The 20,415-nt window shown below is 38.3% G+C and overlaps 1 protein-coding gene across 6 annotated transcripts in view; it reads left to right on the plus strand.

Moving 5' to 3' along the window:
* Positions 1-20,415, plus strand: part of KLHL7 (kelch like family member 7) — a 72,130-nt gene that overhangs the window by 41,895 nt on the left and 9,820 nt on the right. For 3 of the 6 annotated variants that reach the window (NR_033328.2, NM_001031710.3, NM_018846.5), the window contains 3 exons: positions 4,388-4,530; positions 18,019-18,259; positions 20,157-20,358. Coding sequence is in view for 5 of the 6 variants with exons in the window: in NM_001031710.3 (NP_001026880.2) it covers positions 4,388-4,530; positions 18,019-18,259; positions 20,157-20,358 (586 nt within the window). In the remaining variant the exon portion in view is untranslated. Of the gene's footprint in view, positions 1-4,387; positions 4,531-8,311; positions 8,835-18,018; positions 18,260-20,156; positions 20,359-20,415 lie in introns of those variants that run through there. The other 3 variants (XM_006715757.5, XM_017012440.3, XM_047420615.1) reach the window with 1 other exon arrangement.

The raw sequence follows: 20,415 nt of genomic DNA on the forward strand, positions 1-20,415 counted from the left end.
TCTCCTCAATAGAACGGTGTTTGCTTTTGCCAAGTTCTATAGGGCACAACAATCCAGGACTACTTTGAGTTTTCTTTGGCTTATGGTTTCCTAGACTTGCAGGTAGGGTAAATTCAAACCTCGAACCTGCATGAGGGTAAGACTGTCCATATAAATTCTCAAAAGAGGGAGACTTTACCTCTACCTGAAGCTGAAGTTGAAACAGACAAATTATTGCTGCTGCTTCTGCCATTGGGCAGGTATTTTTCTTAGCCCATCCTTTCACTAAAAGTGTAACCACCAATCCTAGTGATCCAGCTTCATCTCAGTTCCAACTCCTTATCTTGAGCAGATCCAAGACTTTATCTCCTCTGCCTCATACAGCCAATAAAAACAATTTCTAGGTTTCCAGTATTTTCATTAGACTTATCACATAGCTACTGCTTACTAGTATGATGGGGTTTTAGGTAAGTAGACCCAATGTTGTCCATAGATTGGAAAGAAATATATCCATACAATGCAATGTTCTATAGTTACTAAAAATATTTTACATGGATATCTAATAATGAAAATTTTCATAAGTGCCAAATGCATATTTTTTTTAATTAAATGAAAACAAAACTGAAAAAGACTAAGTGTGTTTGAACCTAGTCGAGGTTGTCAAAGGAAAAGGAGAAGAGATGTGTGTCAAGGACACATCCTTACAAATACCTATATTTAAGGGGTACAAGAAAATTAAAAAAAAAAAAAAACAGCAGCCCCAAAGCTACTTGAACCAAAGGCTAGTGTCTTGGAAAACCATGGTATAAGAGAGTGTTTAGAAGATAGAACGTACATGGCCACTTGTCTCTTTAAATGCAGAGAGGAAAGAAAATCAGGACCAAGAAGATGCCTTTACATTAGGACTTTTGTCTCTTAGATTTTGTACATGCTAGTATCAGGTTTTTTGTTATGCCCAATTCCCAAACTGTGTGTTATTTTTCTGGCCTTAGAATTTCTATTTCTTCATACATGGTCTGGGCTGTTGAAAACAACCAGCCAGTCTCAGAATCTAGTGTTTAGTTATTACATGGATTCTGAACTGATTAAGAAACAGGATAGCAGTATTATTTCAGAAATTCAACCAAGTGTGAGGATTAGACACTTGAGCAGGATGCTTTGTTGTTTAGTTTAACTTACTAGGCTTATTACATTTTTTCTTTTCCTTTTTTAAAATAAATAATAGTGGATTGTTCTATTACTCCTTGACTAAGCACAAGCAGCTGAGAAGCTTCCAAGCTTTGGGGCCTGGGCAGAGCTAAACTGGGGAAAGGCTTCCAGCCTTTCTTTTTCAGATCATCAGTTGTCTTCCTACCACCGGACTTTGTTGCCTTTCCAGAGTAGAAGAAAAACAGAAAAGACGGTTGAAAAATAACATAAAACTAAGCTTAAAAATTTTACATCCAAAAGAAAATGAATTACAAAATACAAATGAAGTGCACAGCCAAAGCCACCACAAAGGGCCAGGCCAACTTCTTACTGAAAATTTAGAAATGATTATACCTAAATCTGGAAAGAATAACTCCCAAAGGAATAAGCCTAAGCAACAATTAGCTCCTCAGAGAAAGATACCAAAGTGTCCCCCAGCCCTATTCTTGGGGAGGAAAAAAAAGGCCCATTAGTGAAAGAGCCAAAGGCATGCCTCCTCCAGTGTGTCAGCACAGTTGGCCATGGTCAGCCACTTTTACCACATGGCCTGTTGGTGGAAACAGTTCCCTCTTGTCTCTCTCCTTCCCTCCTACCTTTCTCTTACTGGGAATATTGCGTTCATAGACTACACAGTCCACTTTCAGCCTGTGTGGAACCATCCTAGAGCAGTGGCTCTCAAACCCCTCCCTAGCATTTCTGATTCAGAAGGTCTGGGTTAGTGTTCAATAATTAGGATTTTCAACACACTTCCAGATGATACTGATGCTGCTGGTTATGGAAGCACACTTCAAGAACTACCCACAGGCTAAATGCAGACTTGAGCTAATGTGATTTTTTACAATTGTAAAGGATTATAAAATAAACAAAGAATATTCCACAGAAACCATATGTGGCCTGCAAAGTCTATCTGTCCCTTTACAGAAAAAGTTTTCAGACCCCTGACCTAGAGCTTGCGTCAGCATGCCTTGGCCTCTGAAATATCCAGCTGTTTGAATGCAAAAGAGCTTCTACTCAAACTCTGAAATGGAAGAAATGATAAATATTGATAAAGATGTTCATTAATTCACCAACTATTCTCCAAATGAGTTTTCTTTCTCTATCCTTTTAATAAAGACCCAACATAGCCTCATTTATAGAAATGTTTTGCATGTGTCAGGAATTTTTGGGCCAGGCATGCTGTTTCAGGCCTGCAATCCCAGTGCTTTGGGAGGCTGATGTGAGAGGACTGCTGAGCCTAAGAGTTCAAGGTTATAGTGAGTTGTTATGGCACCACCGCACTCCAGCCCAAGTGACAGAGCAAGACCCTGGCTCTAGAAAAAAATAAAATAAAATGGCCTTATTTTATTTTTAGATTGATAATATTGTACAATTCAAAAGGTATTAAAAGGATACATAGTGAAAAGTAAGTCTCCCTGATACCCCTTTTCCCTACTCTCTCATTCTCTTACCCTGGAGATTAACATTATTATCTTGTATATACCCTTCCAGAGGTAGTCTTGAGATTGTGCATACAGTCATTTACTTATATATCCATGTATAAATTACATGTGTAAAATTTGTATATTTGCATTAAAATATACATTTTTAACACAAACAGTAGTGCACTCTGCGTACTGTTCTACATCTTGCTTTTTTTCATTCCATATTATTTATTGGAGATCATTCCATGCGTACATACTAATCTTTCTCATCTTAACAGCCACATATAATGTTCTATTGTATAGACATAGCATAATTTTTTAACCACTTCCCTAACAGTGAACTTTAGATTGATAAACTCCTAGAAAGGGGAATTCCTGGGTTAAAGGGTGTATACATTTATAATTTTTGTAGATTGGGCTATATCACCCTTCCCATGGTTATACCCATCCACATCCCCACCATCAATGGAAGAGAGTGCTGCCTCCCCCGATACAACCATATTATACCCTGTGGTCCAGGCAGTTTGATCTTGGCCAATCTGATAAGTGAAAAAAGTATGATTTTAATTTGTATTTTTCTAACTAGAGCACTCAAGCATCTTTTCATATGTTTAAGAGTTATAGTTCTTTTTCTGTGAACTATATTCAGATACTTCACCAATTTTTGGTTAAGTTGCTGGTAATTCTTATAAATTAATAAAGTGTCTTTTAATAGTATTTTTTATTATTTATAAATATTTTCCTAGTTTGTCATCTTTTAATTCTGCCTTTTCTTTTTGCCATGCACTATTTTAACTTAAACAAAATTTCATATAGTTAAGTCTGAACAATTTTTTCTGGCTCCTATGTTTTTGGTCATTCTTAGGCTTCTCCATTCTGGGCCTGTTTTGTTTTTTTTTTTTTCTTTTCTTTTTTTTAAGCTTTTAGTGCATTTATGGGTTTATATATTCAGATTTTTATTGATTTGAAATTGAGAGTGAAATATGAGGTAGGGGTATAATTTCTTTCTTCATATTGTTGTCTAACATAGACCATCCTCCTTTCCCACACTGATTTGAAATGATACTTTAACAGTTTTTGATTGTTAAGTGGCACTGACAAAATTAAGGAATTGCTGAAGGAAAAGGATCATGACAGATCACAGTAGTTCTGACCTTATTGCATTTTAGAGTCATCTAAGACAGTGCTTCTCAAAGTTTTATGTACATCCTAATTACCGTGGGGTGTTAAATATGCAGATGCTGATTCAGTAGGTCTGGGATAGGGGCCTGGGATTCAGCATTTCTAACAAACTCCCAAATGCTGAAGCAGGTGGTCTTTGAACCACATTTTAAGTGGCAAGATTTAAGAAGCCCTTTAAAATACCAATTCCTAAACACTACCTAGAGATTTTTATTTAATTAGTCTGTGGTAGGTCCCAGGTATCAATAGTTTCAGAGATTTTCTAGGTGATTCTAATGTAAAGATCAAGAACCACTGGGTTAGGAGATCTGGATTTCAATAATTATTATTTTGGCAGCTGTTGCTTGAGGAGCCAGATAATTCACTGGTACATAGTAGTTGCTTACTGGGTGGGGCAGTCTTAGAATAATGGTGATTGCTGAGAATAAATGAATTGGTTAGTACTCGGATCCTTATGCATTTCTCCTGCCTCTTCCCCCTCACTTTCCTCAAATGCTATAGAGATATCATAAAAGTAAGTTACTGAAATAAAGGCCCTATTATGTCTGGGTATTTCGTTTTCAAAGCACTGGTTAGTGCCTGAAGTTCTTGAAGCGTTGCCATGTATTTTACTACAGGTGGAATGAGGTACCATCTACTGTCTCCAGAGGACCGAGAAGAACTTGTAGATGGCACAAGACCTAGAAGAAAGAAACATGACTACCGCATAGCCCTATTTGGAGGCTCTCAACCACAGTCTTGTAGATATTTTAACCCAAAGGTAACTAATTTTTATTCTTGGTTTTTGTTGTTGTCTTTGAAATCACTGAACACATAAGACACTCACCAACTAGAAGTAGTAATAACTCATACCTTTAGAGATGATAGTTTATGGTGTTCTTTCACATATGTTATGAGATACATAGATCATTTTACAGATAAGGAAATCAGGCTTAGATTCCAAATGTTTCCTTAATTGTTCTGGAATGCTGCGTGGTAACCACTGTCAAAGAAAAAGGGAAACTAGTTCTTCCTCACCCCTTTATGTCAGCAGCTCCTTGCATTCATTACAGTTTCTTCCTTATGTCCCATTTTCAATGAAAATCTCTTTCTGGGCCAAATTTGTTTGTTTTTTTCCCCTTAATAATTTTAATATGAAATAACACATAGTCATTCTAGAATATTTGGAAACCCTAGAAAACCACAAAGAAAAAAGATTAAATGACCTTTATTTGAACCACCTAGAAATGATCACCAAGTTTAGTGAACTTTTCATTACATATCATGCCGACCAACTGGGTCAGGAGAGCTTGAGTCATAGGTATAGGAATAAAAAAATTTTTAATAGATCATTACTTATAACCTTAAGACGGTCCACTCACATTTCTACTCCTTGTTTCATAGACCTGTGTGTTTTGGCTGTGGGAGAAAGAATACCATATTTTTCTGGTACTACATGTATTGCTGGGGAAGAGCAAATACCACATCCTAAAGGATAACACCCCAAACTTGCAAGGTGATATCCATAAGTGGTGCTGAATCCAAACACATAATGATCTCTTTCATGATTTTGCAAACCCATTTTTGGTTGGATAGATACCTGATGAGACCAGAGCATTATTTCAAGCCTACATCCTTCTGGATAAACCACTAGCAACTGCCCAAGACTTGATAAAAACTGACCTTAGGCTTTCTCTCCTAAAAGGTATAATGGACAATAAAATGAACTGCTTGGAATTCTGTCAAGTCAGAACACTTTCCTTCATATTGTCCTTCAAAACAATTCCTGAGGCGGCGGGGGGGCTACAACGCTTCTGCAGCTCATTATTGGCTATTACTATCAAAAGTGAACCAAGCCCAGGCCTCTCAAGTTTGTTAGCTGATATATTAGTGACACCCCTCCATGAAGGCACAGTCCTGGGTGAGGGAGAAAGATAGTGAATTAAGTGAAGGGCTACTGGATAAGCACTGTCATTAGTCTATTTGGGTATTTTGTGCCTTTGGAACCTCCGTAAGCCCAGTCTTGCATTTACATGCTACATTGTTGGTTGAAGGCATGCTGTATTTGTGGCTAGGCAGGTCAGGTAAAATTGTTCAAGATGGGTTAATGACATGGTCACCTGGTTTCCCTTGGTGTTAGACATTTGCCATCTGTCAGAACCTCATGGGCAGCTGGGAATTGTCTACTGAAAGAATGATACCTGCATAAAGGAGGCTGGCCTTGCTCCAGAATTTGGGGCATGCTCTGATTATATTGAGACATACCTCAAGCTATATGCAGCATCCTAATGCCCCAGGATCACAGGCAGTTGAGCCATACTACTGTAGCCTGTCCCACTTAGAAAGATTTCTCCTACTCTAGATTTTACTTGTAACTGATAGCTTTGCAGTTTACCCAGAAGTGTAATAACCATATGCCATCTCTAATATGTAGGAGGTGCTAGGGGTCAGCAAGCTGTCCATTTTCAAGGGGTTCTTCCAACATGCTGTAGATCAGGGCTCCACAGACTTTTCTATAAAGGGCCAGAGTAAGTATTTTCAGCTTTGCATGCCATTCATTCTCTGACCCAGTTGCAGGAAAGCAGCCATAAACAATACATAAGCAAATGGTCATGGCTGTGTTCCAATAAGACTTTATTTACAGGCCAGGTGCAGTGGCTCATGCCTGTAATCCCTGCACTTTGGGAGTCCAAGGTGGGTGGATCACCTGAAGTCAGGAGTTTGAGACCAGCCTGGCCAACATGGTGAAACTCCGTCTCTACTAAAAATACAAAAAATTGGCTGGGCATGGCAGTGCATGTCTGAAATGTCAGCTACTCGGGAGGCTGAGGCAGGAGAATCACTTGAACCCAGGAAGTGAAGGTTGCAGTGAGCTGAGATCACGCCACGGCACTCCAGCCTGGGCAACAGAGTGAGACTATGTCTCAAAACAAACAAACAAACAAAAAAAGACTATTTACAAAACCAGCTAAGGGGGTGGATTTGGCCTTCAGGCCATAGTTTGCCAACCTCTGCTCTAGACCTAAGAACATCTAGGGACTTTGAAGCAATCAGCACTGTATTCTAGGCTAACTTATCTTCTGTCCTGTCAAGCAACATTTCTTACCAAGACATATAGGATCCTTTCCATTTTCTGGTCTCCAGAAATGGTTAGCATTACGCGCATCAACACAGGAGACCAGTATGTGACCTTGGGAAGGTGAGATGGTCCAGGATGCCTGCAGCTTAGATTATGGCATAGAGCTAAAGAGTCAAGGGATCCTTGAGGTCAGACCATGACATTTAAAAATTTTCCCTGCCAGCTGAAAAGGAATTCAATCTAATGATCTGGGTAGATAGAAACAGAAATATGCGTTAGCCAAAGTGTTAGCTATATGGCAAGTTTTCCTGGTTATATTAATCTGATCCAGTAAGAAGACTATATCTGGCCCTCTTGTAACAAAGTTACCAGTCTCAGCAGTTCCTCCAAGGCAAGCAGTTCCTCTTATATTTTGGTAGAGAAAGAAACTTCCATCAGTTTCTCTTTCTTACCATAACACTTAACACCATACCCATAGAGCAAATATGCCACCAGATAGCAAAAACACCTCCCCAAGGAGGGAAGGATCAGGTTAGATTTGTTAATCACCATCATATTTGGACTGTCCCTATTGGCCCGCTCTTGGCTCAGACATCAATTTCTGGTCTATTCCTTCATCTCCAGAATATAGGCTGACTTTTTACCTACAGAAATCTGGCTTTCTCAATAGAAGACTGAGTGACTAGCAGGTGCCGTGAGAATTCATGGCCTGTGTGCTATCCAATAAGCACAGTGTCCTCACTGTGAGGACACCGGCAATGGCTATTTGTGTTTTTTAATTTTTCAGGATCCTTTTGAGTGAAGAACAGGAAAATTATAAACTTTTTTTTTCCCCAAAGAAAAACTGAAATGATAGTTTAAATTGTAATTCTAGGCCAGGCACGGTGGCTCACACCTGTAATCCCAGTACTTTGGGAGCCCAAGGTGGGTGGATCACCTGAGGTCAGGAGTTTGAGACCAGCCTGGGCAACATGGTGAAACCCCATCTCTACTAAAGCTACAAAAAATTAGCCAGGCGTCGTGGCAGGCGCCTGTAATCCCAGCTACTGGGGAGGCTGAGGCAGGATAATCGCTTGAACCCGAGAGGTGGAGGTTGCAGTGAGCTGAGATCACACCACTGCACTCCAGCCTGGGCAACAAGAGAACAGCAACCAAAAAAACAAAACAAAACAAAACAAAACAAAAATTGTAATCCTAAAAACTATAGATTAATAATAATTACACCCAATTTGTTTCCCAAACCATAACTATGGTGTTGATTTTGGCAGTTAAAAAGCAATTAAGCCAAGTGTTGGTGGAAAATATTTTATTTTAAAATAAAGTAGATGGCTATTTTGATGTACAGATGGGCAAGAAGAATTCTGAGTTCATTTAGGAGGCAGGGAGCATTGTTCCTAGAATAAGGCAAATGTGGGATGACTCTTAGCACTTTATTTTTAGTCTGTAGTTCTAATTCTTTCCTTGATTTTTTTTTATTGGACAGTTGAAAAGAGATGCATATTCTTCTACACGAGCCTGGAAGTGAGACTGTAACTTCAGAATTCTCATTTGTTGTCTTGCCTTGCTCTTATAAATGAGTCATTCCTAATTGCACTTTGAAAATTTATGGGAAAATTTAAATAATTGAGGAATGAACTACCAATAAAAACATTTTCATTCCATCAGTTATAGTTCTTGTATTTCATTGGTGACAGGAGGCAAATATTTGTATTTATTGATGACTAAAAAGTTATAGCAAAGAAAAATCTTTTTTCTGAATATTGACAGAAAAAGAAGTCTTGGGTTGCTATATTGAATTGAAATGATATTTTTCTTGTTATCATCCTTTTATAAAGCCTATTGAGCTGCCTCTTCCCATCCTGTATGTTTTTAAATCATCAAGTGCTTAGTGGTTTCTAAAAGAGTTATGTATTCAGTGTTCTATTTATCCTAGTATTGGTGTTCTCAGTCTGTAACATGGTAATGTCTTACGATATTAATACCTAAATAAAAGTTGACTTAACTGATCAGTTTTTATTTGGATTCCTCCTCCCAGTGAAATGGTGAGCTGGGGCTTTGTAAGGATCTTGGCTTCATACGGTGGAGAAACGGGAGACTATGCCCTGGAGAATATGGGACTCTGCATATTCCCTGCCAACAATAAACTAGTAGTAAGACTAGCAGGGCGAGGGCCAGAGCCTGTAAATTACTAAGGCAGAAAACTATGTGGCACCCTATTCATGGAACTACCAGGTTCAGAAGGTTTACCCTGGGTGCATTTTCATATTCAGAACTCTAAGGTAGACTCATTACTGAGCTCAGTGTCTGGCACAGGGTGAGTACTCAAGTTTATAAGGATGAATGAACCAATATAACTTTACATAATTTTCTCAGTTGGTTTTATAAGACTGGATCTAAATATAGAAGGCTCTAAATAAAAGAAGAGAAAAAGAAGTTATCTTTAACTTGGGACACATTTTCCTGTCAGAAATATTTTATATTAAAGATATTGCAGTGCCTGTATCATAGCCGCCTTCCCTCTTAAACAGGTCCTCCCTAAGGAGGAAACAGTCCCACCCTGTGATCATGGCGGAAATCAGCAGTTATAAATTGTGTACGATTTTAAAAGATCATGTGCATAAATGAAGTATAAACCTTAAAGGAAAATGGTGTTACATCACAAAAAATTGAGAGTTTTATAGCAGTATATCAGTAGCGTTTGTCACCAGCAAAGAGCTCTAGAAGTACTACACAGAAGTAAAAATGTGAACACTGCTACAATGATCAGAAGCACCTACAAGAACAAAATATCTAAAATAGGCAGCAATCATCCCAGATGAGGTGGACCTCTAGCTGCAGGCCCCAGCAGCTGACATTGCTGAGATGCAGGTGTGGGTCATCATGAGTATCCCTTAAGCTTCCTTAGTTGTCAGCATCATGGGCAGCCAGGGGTAAACAGTGTTCTCTGCAGTTTGTGCATGAAAGGTATTCTCCCTGATTCTTTGAAGGCAGTTTGTTAGACAGGTGGTCTTCATGTTCATGTAAAGAAGAGAGTAAATCACATCCTGAGGTAAGTTCTCAGTTATATGCTCTGGTTTCCTAGAAGGTCTTCCAAAATAGAGAGTCTCAATTTCTTTTCAAGTACCTCCATAATACACTGGTCGGTAGTTTTGTTCTAAAATCAACTTCACAGCCCCTTCCACCCCACCTTGGTATAGTGCCTGAAGTCCCCACATTCAAAGATTTGTTTCTCTTTGTGTTATGTCACTGCATCTCCAAGAAACCCCCAGTGAAAATATGACTGGTGCTGGGAGTCATGACATCAAACTCATTCTCCATAGCCACAGCTGGCCTTAATTATAAATTAACAGATCACTCTAAAAAGGGTCAGGGAGAGTGGAAACAGAGCTGCACATATTCGATTGAAGGCTGTAAATGGGAAGAAATGAGGAAAATGGGAATGTTATCTCCGTGAAGTTGTGTTGTGTCGTGTTTTTGAGACAGGGTCTTGCTCTGTCACCCAGGCTGGCGTGCAGTGGCACGGCCGTGGCTCACTGCAGCCTTGACCTCCCAGGCTCAAGTGATCCCCCACCTCAGCCTCTCTAGTAGTTGGGACTTTGGGCACTTGCCACCACACCCCACTAATTTTTTTCATTTTTTGTAGCAACAGGGGTCTCTCTGTGTTGCCAGGGCTGGTCTTGAACTTCTGGACTCAAGCAGTCCTCCTGCCTCAGCCTCCCAAAGTTCTGGGATTATAGATGTGAGCCACCACAGCCAGCCTGGGGTGGGGTTTTAAGGGACTCTAGCCTTTGGGAGGTAGCAAGAGAGCAGTGGGTCCATGAGCACAGGGCTGAAGGGATAAGTCAAGCTGAGGTTAACAGGGAATTCACACTCTTTACTAGACCATGTCACCAATAATTAATATTGGTTACCTTTGGTAATTGTTCATATGTTGACCCAGAGGTGCATTAAGAGCTGTCACCTCAGAAGTATTGAATCATATTCAGTTAGATTTGGTATGGATTATTTTCTATGAAAATTTGGTGATCCAGCTATAAAAGATAATTATCCTTACCTGTTACTAACAACAGAGTGTGTTGTATGGTTAGCTGGTTGTAAAAGTATGTTTAAATAAGTAATATTTTAGCATATATTCATGGTTCATATAGGATTTTAAATTTGTGGGTTGGACACCAGCAAGGGATATGAAAGACACATACTACAGGACCCTGTCCTCACACACACAGTGCGTGAGGTGTACACATAAGCACACAGCAGTTAGCACAGAGGTGGCTGTCAACACCTCTGCTGAACTTAACAGTTAATTGTCCTGATGTGTGATAGACAATGACTGTGTTGGTGGCATGGAAAGAAGAGAGCTCCCTGGGTCAGATATGTCAACCAGGAAACCTCTGTGGAAGCTTCATGGAAGTTTTCTTGAGGGAGACTTACTCGTAGGGTTTGGGTAGGAAGAAAGAGAAAAGACTTAAAAGTATATTGAATCCTGGGTATGAATGCATCTTGACTTGGTGAGTATGATTATTAAAATTTTTCATAAAAGCCCCCAAAAGTATTGTATAACTGAATGGAATCTAACTGGACTGCACTTTTTAAAAAAAAGGAAATTAGACATAGGTGGAAGAGCTGAAGGACTAGATCATTGGTCTTTTGTCTTTTGTGAGATCTTTTTGTTGTTTTGTTTTTAAAACAGGGTCTTCCTCTGTCAGACAGGGTGGAGTACAGTGGTAATCACTGCAGCCTTAACCTCCTGGCCTCAAGTGATTCTCCCACCTCAGCCTCCCAAGTAGCAGGGACTACAGGCGTGCATCACCACACATGGCCATTTAAAAAAAATTTTTTTGTGTGGAGACAAGGGTCTCACTATGTTGCCCAGGCTGGTCTTGAACTCCCAGTCTAAAGCCATCCTCCTGCCTTGGCCTCCCAAAGCACTGGGATAAAAGTACCTGAACCACCAAGCCTGGCTGAGATCTTTTTTTCCTTTTATCTTTTTTCTAGATATGACCTTAGGCAAGTCAGTTAGGATTTTCTCCTTCTTCTTCTTTGAAACAAGGTCTCACTCTGTTGCCCAGGCTGGAGTACAGTGGCGTGATCTCGGTTCACTGCAGCCTCAACCTCCCAGGCTCAAGCAGTCCTCTCACCTCAGCCTCCTGAGTAGTTGGAACTACAGGCACATGCCACTACACCTGCTAATTTTTAGATTTTTTGTAGAGACAGGGTTTTACCATGTTGCCCAGTCTGGTGTCAACTACTGAGCTCAAGCAATCTGCCTGCCTCAACCTCCCAAAGTGCTAGGATTACAGCCTTGCCCCACCATCAGTTAGCCTTTCTAAACCAGTTTTCTGGTCTAAAGCCAAAAAGTTTAAATCTTCTCAGGATTTGTGTGAATGTCAGTTATGTTCATCTGACTCTTTTTTCCTTTCTTTGCTCTCCTTCACTCCTCTGTCAGATTCTCCCTGTCACCCTTGGGTTTTCTAATCTTCCCATATTTAAATACAAAAATGCTTACCATCTTCCCCACTTTGCTTTTCCCTTCATCTTCTGAACTCTTCCAGACACCTGGGACATCTCCTGTACTCTGTACAAAGAGTAGATGTTTGTTTCATTGGTGAGAACGTTTTTATAAATGAGTATACTATTGCTTTCTGGGATTTGAGATAATTTAAAGTGTAATATACCTTGCTGCGCCAAGATTAAAAATTGCATGGCAAAGTTCACTTAAAGGCAATCTGTTTAGATAACTGGCAAGGTAGCAGCACAGGGATACTATATACTTCTCTAATATGTTATTTCTACTCAAAGGACAAGTACTGTTATCAAGCATAATATCCATGTCATGCTTACTCAACTTCAGACTGAGTTTTATTTAATGATTGAGTTTCTGAGTAGCTTAGGTTTGATTTTTGGTTTTTGGTGGTGTGGTTTTAATTTGAGAGTGGAGACAGGAAGAACATTTTGTGACTTTATAAAGCAGCAGTGATTCTTAATAATTCCCTTTCAGCTTGCCACTGGCCTCACTTTGGACTGTTTGCTAATTTTAGCTAATCATTAACAGCTAAGAAATGCCCATTTGTATATTGTTTGTTGCTAATTAAGCCTGATTTTATCTAGCAGCCTGCAATAGCACAACCTCCCTCCTCCTCCCCAACTGTGGAAGCTACTGAGCTACAATGTTACTGTTGTTGAAGAATTTGAGTTACAAGGATATTTTTCCTAATGGCTAATTACTAAATTTCTTTCTGGACTTAAGGAGGTTAATATGTTTCCAGTAATATTTATGTGACTACTGAAAATGAGCATATTTCAAAATATGTATACATCCTATGGAATTACTTGACATGATCAAGTGTTTGCTTCTGGAAAACCAGAGTGCCCTTAAGAACGTGCTATTTGGAAGGAAAGCAAAGACTGCCTCTAATCTGTCCTATAGTTTAAATTTAGTCTCATAATATAATAGCTATTTGTGTTTCTCAATTCTTAGAGCCTTTAAATTAGTTTGAATTAAATGTTCCTGTTAAAACATTTAGCACTAGTATAGGCTTCTGCTGACAAAAGTAGTTGTTTTCCTGGTACCATATTTTTGGTACCATTCATTGTATTTTCGTTGTTATTTTTTAAAAAAATACATATTCTTTGTAGAAAATATAGCAAGATATAAAGGAGAAAGTCAAAGTGCCCACAACGTCCAAAGACAGTCATCAGTAGTTAGTGAACATCATTTCAGTCCTTACATTTTACAAATACGGGATCATGCCTACATGCTATTTTACAGACTGTATTTTACTCTCACCATTTTATTATGGAGATATTTTCACATCAGTGAGAATGTCATCATTTTGAAGGGCTGTAGAGTATTCCATCACAAGGATACACCATAATTTAATACCTGTCTTCATCAAACACATTTAGTTGATTTACAGTTTTTTCCTGTTAAAATACTCCTGCAGTGAATTACCTTTATATCTGCCAGCTTTGTACACTGTCCAGTTTTTTCTTTAGGATAAATTCCTAGGAGAAAAATTGCTCTAGCAAAGGATGAAAGTGGAAACTATTTGGATTTACAAAAACAGGAGATGAAAGCCTGGCCCTCAACCCCAGGAACTGCCGGCTGGTTGGTTACAGGTCCCTCTGGTTTTCAGTGGTGCAGCCACCACAGAACCAGGAGCCATAATGATAAGATGCCAGCTGGAGCCAGTGTAACATAAAGATAGTGCTGCAATGAAGAACTGGTACAAACCAGGAGCAGAGTGCAGCATCTACAGTCTCTGACATTTGCAGAGTCAAAAATGAGGGTGGCCCTAATGGATGATATATACTTTTCTACAAATGTGAACTATCACTCAATGAAAACATTCCCTCAGTATGCTGAGCCCTGGGCCAAATACTATACAAACATATGGAGAAAAACTCATTTTCACAACAGCTGTGCTTTTGGCAGTTGAGCGTTGTGCTTATAAGTGAAAAGATACGGAGATTGTGCAGGACCTCAGCAGCCATCCTGCTAACCTCCTGATTTTATAGATGAGTCTGTTGAGATCCAACAATGACAATTCAAGTGCCCAGAATCACTTTGCTAGAAACACAACAGTGACAAGAGGAACCCAGATCACTCTACTCCCAGTCCTTTGTTCTTTCTAGTAGGCCATGAAAGACTTTTAGAGAAGCAGTGCAGGGGCTAAAGACGCAGCTTTGGAGTCAGATGGATTTAGATTAAGATCTTGGGTTCACCATTTTCTAATTATGTGACCTTTGGTAAGTTACTTAATATCTCTTAGTTTTCTTATCTGTAAATGAGTATATTACCTTATAGAGTTATTAAGGAAATTAAATAAGATGATGTTTTAAAATATCTCAGCATAGTTCCTGGAAAGGTAAGTACTCAATAACTAATAAATTAATAGTAGCTATTTGGTTAGGGATGCATCCTAAATCATTTGGATTCTAAGATCATTGGATGCTAGGACTGAAAGGGAAGAGACCTTTGGTCATTCAGTCATTTTGTTGTACAGATAAACTAAAGTCCCTTAGAAGTTAAGTGACCCTAATTGAGATCCATAGCTCCTCCATACAGAGCCTGGCTTCATACCCAAGTTTCCCAGTTCCTTTGAACTACATTCTTTGTGTCCTTGTAAGATGAATGAAGCCAAAACTGTTTCTATGTGTTTCTCATGAAATTACTTCTAGGAATGTTCTGGCATCTACATAAATTTGCTTTTCATGTAGATTGTCACCATAGGTGTATGACCTTTTTTAAAGCGCTTAGAAACTAAGATATATCAAATAATGGCTTAAGAGAAAGTACTTGTAATTTAGTCATCTTAAACTCAGGTTGGATTGATTCCCTGTGGTTTCTCTAAGAAATCTTAAAGTTTTGATAATTTTGCTTTCTTTTTTCCCTAAGACCCTGCCTTCCCTAATTCGGCTCGATTTTCTCTCAAAATGATCCAAAATAAAGTTCTCAGGTATTAAAAATGAAAAGTATTTCATTTTGGATTGTGGTTGCCTTTTTACTACAGTATTTCTATTATTTGAGGATCTATGTGTTTTCAGAATACATTATATAAAATCAGTCCTTACTTTGAAGGAAAATATCACACTGATCTTTTGCCTTGAGGCATTTAGAGAAAATATTTAGAACTTATCACTCCCAAGAAGCTTTTACTCTTTTTTTTTTGCTCGTTTGGAGACGGAGTTTCGCTCTTGTTGCTCAGGCTGGAGTGCGGTGGCGTGATCTCGGCTCACTGCAACTTCTGCCTCCCAGGTTCAAGCAACTCTCCTGCCTCAGCCTCCCGAGTAGCAGGGATTACACGTGCCTGCCACCATGCCCGGCTAATTTTTTGTATTTTTAGTGGAGACGGGGTTTCACCATGTTGGCCAGGCTGGTCTTGAACTCCTGACCTCAGGTGATCTGCCTGCCTCTGCCTCCCAAAATGCTGGGATTAGAGGCATGAGCCACCACATCCGGCCCGAAGCTTTTACTCTTGTAGGAGCAATGAGAACTATTGTATTACAGCTAGAAAATCACATAGGGCAAGATACAATGGAGTGTTCAGTCATCAAGCCTGGACTTCAAGTGGTAAGGATTCAGAAGAAAGAAATCAGGAAAACCTACAAAAAGGAAAGCAGTCTTGAGCTTAGAAAAAAAGTATAGCATGGCATATCACAGCAGAGGCAAGAAAGGCTGACTAGGACCAAGGAAAATAGGACTTTATACATGGATGTGTCCACATGTGTACGTGTGTATAATGAGAGATATATCAAAATTTAAGAAATCCTTCTACCCATATCTTTTCCAGGCTTTCCAATTTTCCGCATTTCACATCTCAGCACCTAAGTATAAGAACTTGCATGGAATAGATACTCAGTAAAACTTAAGTGAATTAAATCATATTTTTAGGGTAACAGCTCCCTGACCCTGCCCACACACATATACCGTCCCATCTGTGACTCTACTGTTATTTGTCCATCTTCTTGCTAACATGAGAACTGCATATTCCTCTAGATTTCCCTGTAGATTTCCCTATTGCAGGGAGCAATAAATAGCACTGCCTTCACCTGCAAGCCCAGGTTGGAACTAGTTTCATCACTAGGGTAATGCCCAACAGTCATAGCCACTGAGCTGACAAGACTGACTTCCCATCTATTCTTCCCCACCCCACCCCCCGCCAACTACATACAGTATCTAGGTACTATAATCAGCAAAAAAAAAAAAAAATTCCCATATAGCTCTCAAGTAATAAATGTCAAATAAATTAGGGGTAAGAGTGACAAGATTTGAGATTCACTGAGTTAATGCAGTTAATGAAATTGTAATTCTCTGCTACATAAACCTGATTAGATAGGTATTATGAGTAGATATGAAGAACATTTAAGAGAATGATTTAGTTTATCTTTGAGGGATTGTTCCCTGTACAATATGATCATTATTTTATCTCTTTATTTCATTCTGTGGTATACAGTTTCTCTAAGAGAACAAGTGAAAATATTTTCCCCCAGTTTTTCAAGTGTTTATTGAGTGGAATTGAAGTTTCACGAACATGTTATGTTTATCACATTGTTTTGTGTGCCCACCACTGAGTAACCTACGGGGATATTAATTAGAGAATAACATCCTAAGCTATTAAGGCTCTATTTTCCTGGTCACCTAAAAAGCAAAATGTTCATCTTTGTCAGGAGTCAAAGTATTCTACATTAGGGGCTCTTCCTTTCCTAAGAGACCATTCCTGATGTTCTGTGATACTTTAATCCAATGAATGCCTGAAACACTGGATACGATCATAGGTTATCAGTCAGATTTTCTCGAAGGAAACTCAATAATCACACATAGTGCTTTCCTTGGTGAGATTGGGAATGGTATGAATTCCTATCTGACCCTGATTATTTTCAGAAAATAGCAGGAACGCTGTAGCTTCCTATCTCAAAAAAAGAGAGGGTCCAAGATACTATAACTTTAGGGGCATCCCCCCATGCACATACATGGAAGGGCGGCACAAGCATTCTTCGATGCTATCAAACATAGTGAAGAAACAGATGCTGTGAACAGCCCTTACTGTCAAGTACTGATAGGTGTGTATTTCTAATCATTGGGGTGAAAAGTGAGTATCCAGAGTACTTAGAAGAGATTACTCAAGTATTTCCTTATAAACATCAACAGTTTTAAAGTCCAGCTGACTACATTGGCTCAACTCAATATAGAAAATTAATAAAGAAGTCCACAAAATACCTTCTGGCTTTAGACTATCAGTAGGATAATGGCAATTTGAGCTTCATATTATCCATTGATTACTTATATCACACTATATATCTGGCAGGGAAGGGATGGAGACCTTTACATTTGAAAAAGCTTTTTTAAAAAATAAAACAACTTATTTTAGAATCTTCTTGTATTGTCTTCAATAACAGAAGGAATAGAAGACAGGGTGGTGATGGTATATCCAAATATATTTAAGTTTATTTTAGAGCCAGAAAGGACCCAAAGCAGTCATGTGCCTGCCTTTTGCCCTCCGCCCCATCTAATCAACATTCTGCAGAAACCACACAAGATTAAATTGGTAATAGTCTCAAGCCAAACATTTGTATGTGTAGTCTAATAAATTAACATATTCTTATATGTTTTTTGACTGTATCTTTGCATTGTCCTTTTCAGTTATATTTTTTTCCTTACTGAAAGCTTCCCATCCTTTTCTGCTACAGGATTATAGCTGGACAGACATCCGCTGCCCCTTTGAAAAACGAAGAGATGCAGCATGCGTGTTTTGGGACAATGTAGTATACATTTTGGGAGGCTCTCAGCTTTTCCCAATAAAGCGAATGGACTGCTATAATGTAGTGAAGGATAGCTGGTATTCGAAACTGGGTCCTCCGACACCTCGAGACAGCCTTGCTGCATGTGCTGCAGAAGGCAAAATTTATACATCTGGAGGTTCAGAAGTAGGTAAGGACTTCTTAAGTATTTTGGTTTGGGGCATATGCTTTAAAGCCAAGTATCTTGGCTTTCATATTTAAATAAACAGCTGGTATTATTTGTCCAGATACTTTCTTGGTAATTTAAATATGTGTTTGTCACATTTTAGAGCTCATCTCCCTGAAGGTTTATGTCGTTGCTTTACAAACCATTAAATTACAGAACTTTAGCTTCCTAGATTAATGGCCCATTTTTTTTATCATAATGAAGCATTAGTTGACATTATCTGAATTATAGTTCTAAATTATTTGGGCTGCATAATATTATTTGTTTTAAAGATTTCAGAGTTCAACTTATAGACTCTTTAAGAACTCGTTACTATATTCAGGCTTTTAAAATTTGTATTATATTTGCTTTCTTTTTATTAGAAAAAAGAATGCTCTTTTTCATTTGTTTTATTCTTTAAGTTTTTAATGACTGTAGTGGTATTTATGCTTATTGAGCAGAATGGGATGTGGGTGTGGATATAAAAACCTTATTGGATAGTGTGTTAGTGTCCAGTAGTGCTCTTTTTCTAAATGAATAATTTTTCTAAATGAATAGGTGCAGGCTAGATACATAATAGCTTTTGTATGCTTTCATTTTCAAGTAATTTCTTTAGCTTAAATAATGGGCTAATAAAGAAAACTAGGGAGACCGTAAATGGTTATACTTTTGGTCTGCATACTTATGTTTTTACCCTCAACTATATGTCAAATGAATACAAGAAAAATCACTATTTCCTAAATGTAACCATTTCCTCTCTTTAAAAGCATTCTTCACAGACTGTTATAATGTAGAATATTTCAAATACAATAAATCCTAAAGATGATAGACGGTAACTGTTCTGTGGTACTGCAGATAACTTCATTTCTTCAGCCTTTGCTAAGTGTGTTTTTAGCTTAAGTAGTAGTTTTTTTTTAATCTACTATATACTATATATTTTCCTATAGTGTCCACCCACTGAACCTACCAAATCAGGAATGTTTAAAAAGTTAAAAATAAGTTATTTTTGGTCATGACCATTGCTTCTTCTAGTTGTTATTTTCTGATCTTTACTTTTCACAGACCTTAGTTGCAACGCAGAATTATAAAGGTGTTGTCGTTTTTAAATCATTTGATATTAGCCCAGAATGGTGGGAGATGAGAAATAGTTTGGTAACTTCTAAAATTTTTTGTCCTTGGGAAGGAAAAAAAAAAGCACTTAAACTTTAATAGTATCATTTCTAAAATTTTTTATTGAACTCCTACAGTGTGTAGAAGTTTCAAAACATGATGAATGTATGTTTTGCCTTTAAATTGTGTAATCAAAATACATCAGAAATATACATCAATATTTTGAGAATATACTCAAGCAGGGACCAGTGTGATTTCAGGATATACCACACTAACTGAGAATAGTTAGGAAATATAATTTTGTTAATGGTGCTGTAGCTATTCCAGAATATTAAATAAGAATATGATCAGATAGTAGTTTTCATATTTTAAGGTATGGGTCTACCATCTGTAAGGAACTATTATGCTTTTCCACTTTATATAAACATTTGAAGTATGGATAATTCCCGTCATGCATAATGGGGCTTGAAGACATATATAAGGCTTCTTATTTAATTTTTCTTTTGAAATCAAATTTATTTTTCTAAAGTTTAATTACCAATAAATAAGTATTTCCAACAGATCCTTTTAAGGATGTTTTCCAGGGTCTATACAAACAGGATTATTAGCGTTTTCTTAAACTATTCCTACACTTTGTTGTTGTTGATTGAGTATGAAAATGGCCGTATGACCCTAAATTCTTCCTTCCTTAACTAATAAGATCTACAGTCAGTTCTTTCCAAACCCCCGCACACACTAAAGTTAAGCATGATGGGGCCTTTTTCTTTTACAGGAAACTCAGCTCTGTATTTATTTGAGTGCTATGATACGAGAACTGAAAGCTGGCACACAAAGCCCAGCATGCTGACCCAGCGCTGCAGCCATGGGATGGTGGAAGCCAATGGCCTAATCTATGTTTGTGGTGGAAGTTTAGGAAACAATGTTTCTGGGAGAGTGCTTAATTCCTGTGAAGTTTATGATCCTGCCACAGAAACGTATGTATCTATTTAAAATTTATTTTACAGTTAACTGTATTCTATAAGCTCTGTAGG

Source organism: Homo sapiens, chromosome 7 (assembly GCF_000001405.40).
Source record: "Homo sapiens chromosome 7, GRCh38.p14 Primary Assembly".
NCBI classification, from domain to species: Eukaryota; Metazoa; Chordata; class Mammalia; order Primates; family Hominidae; genus Homo; species Homo sapiens.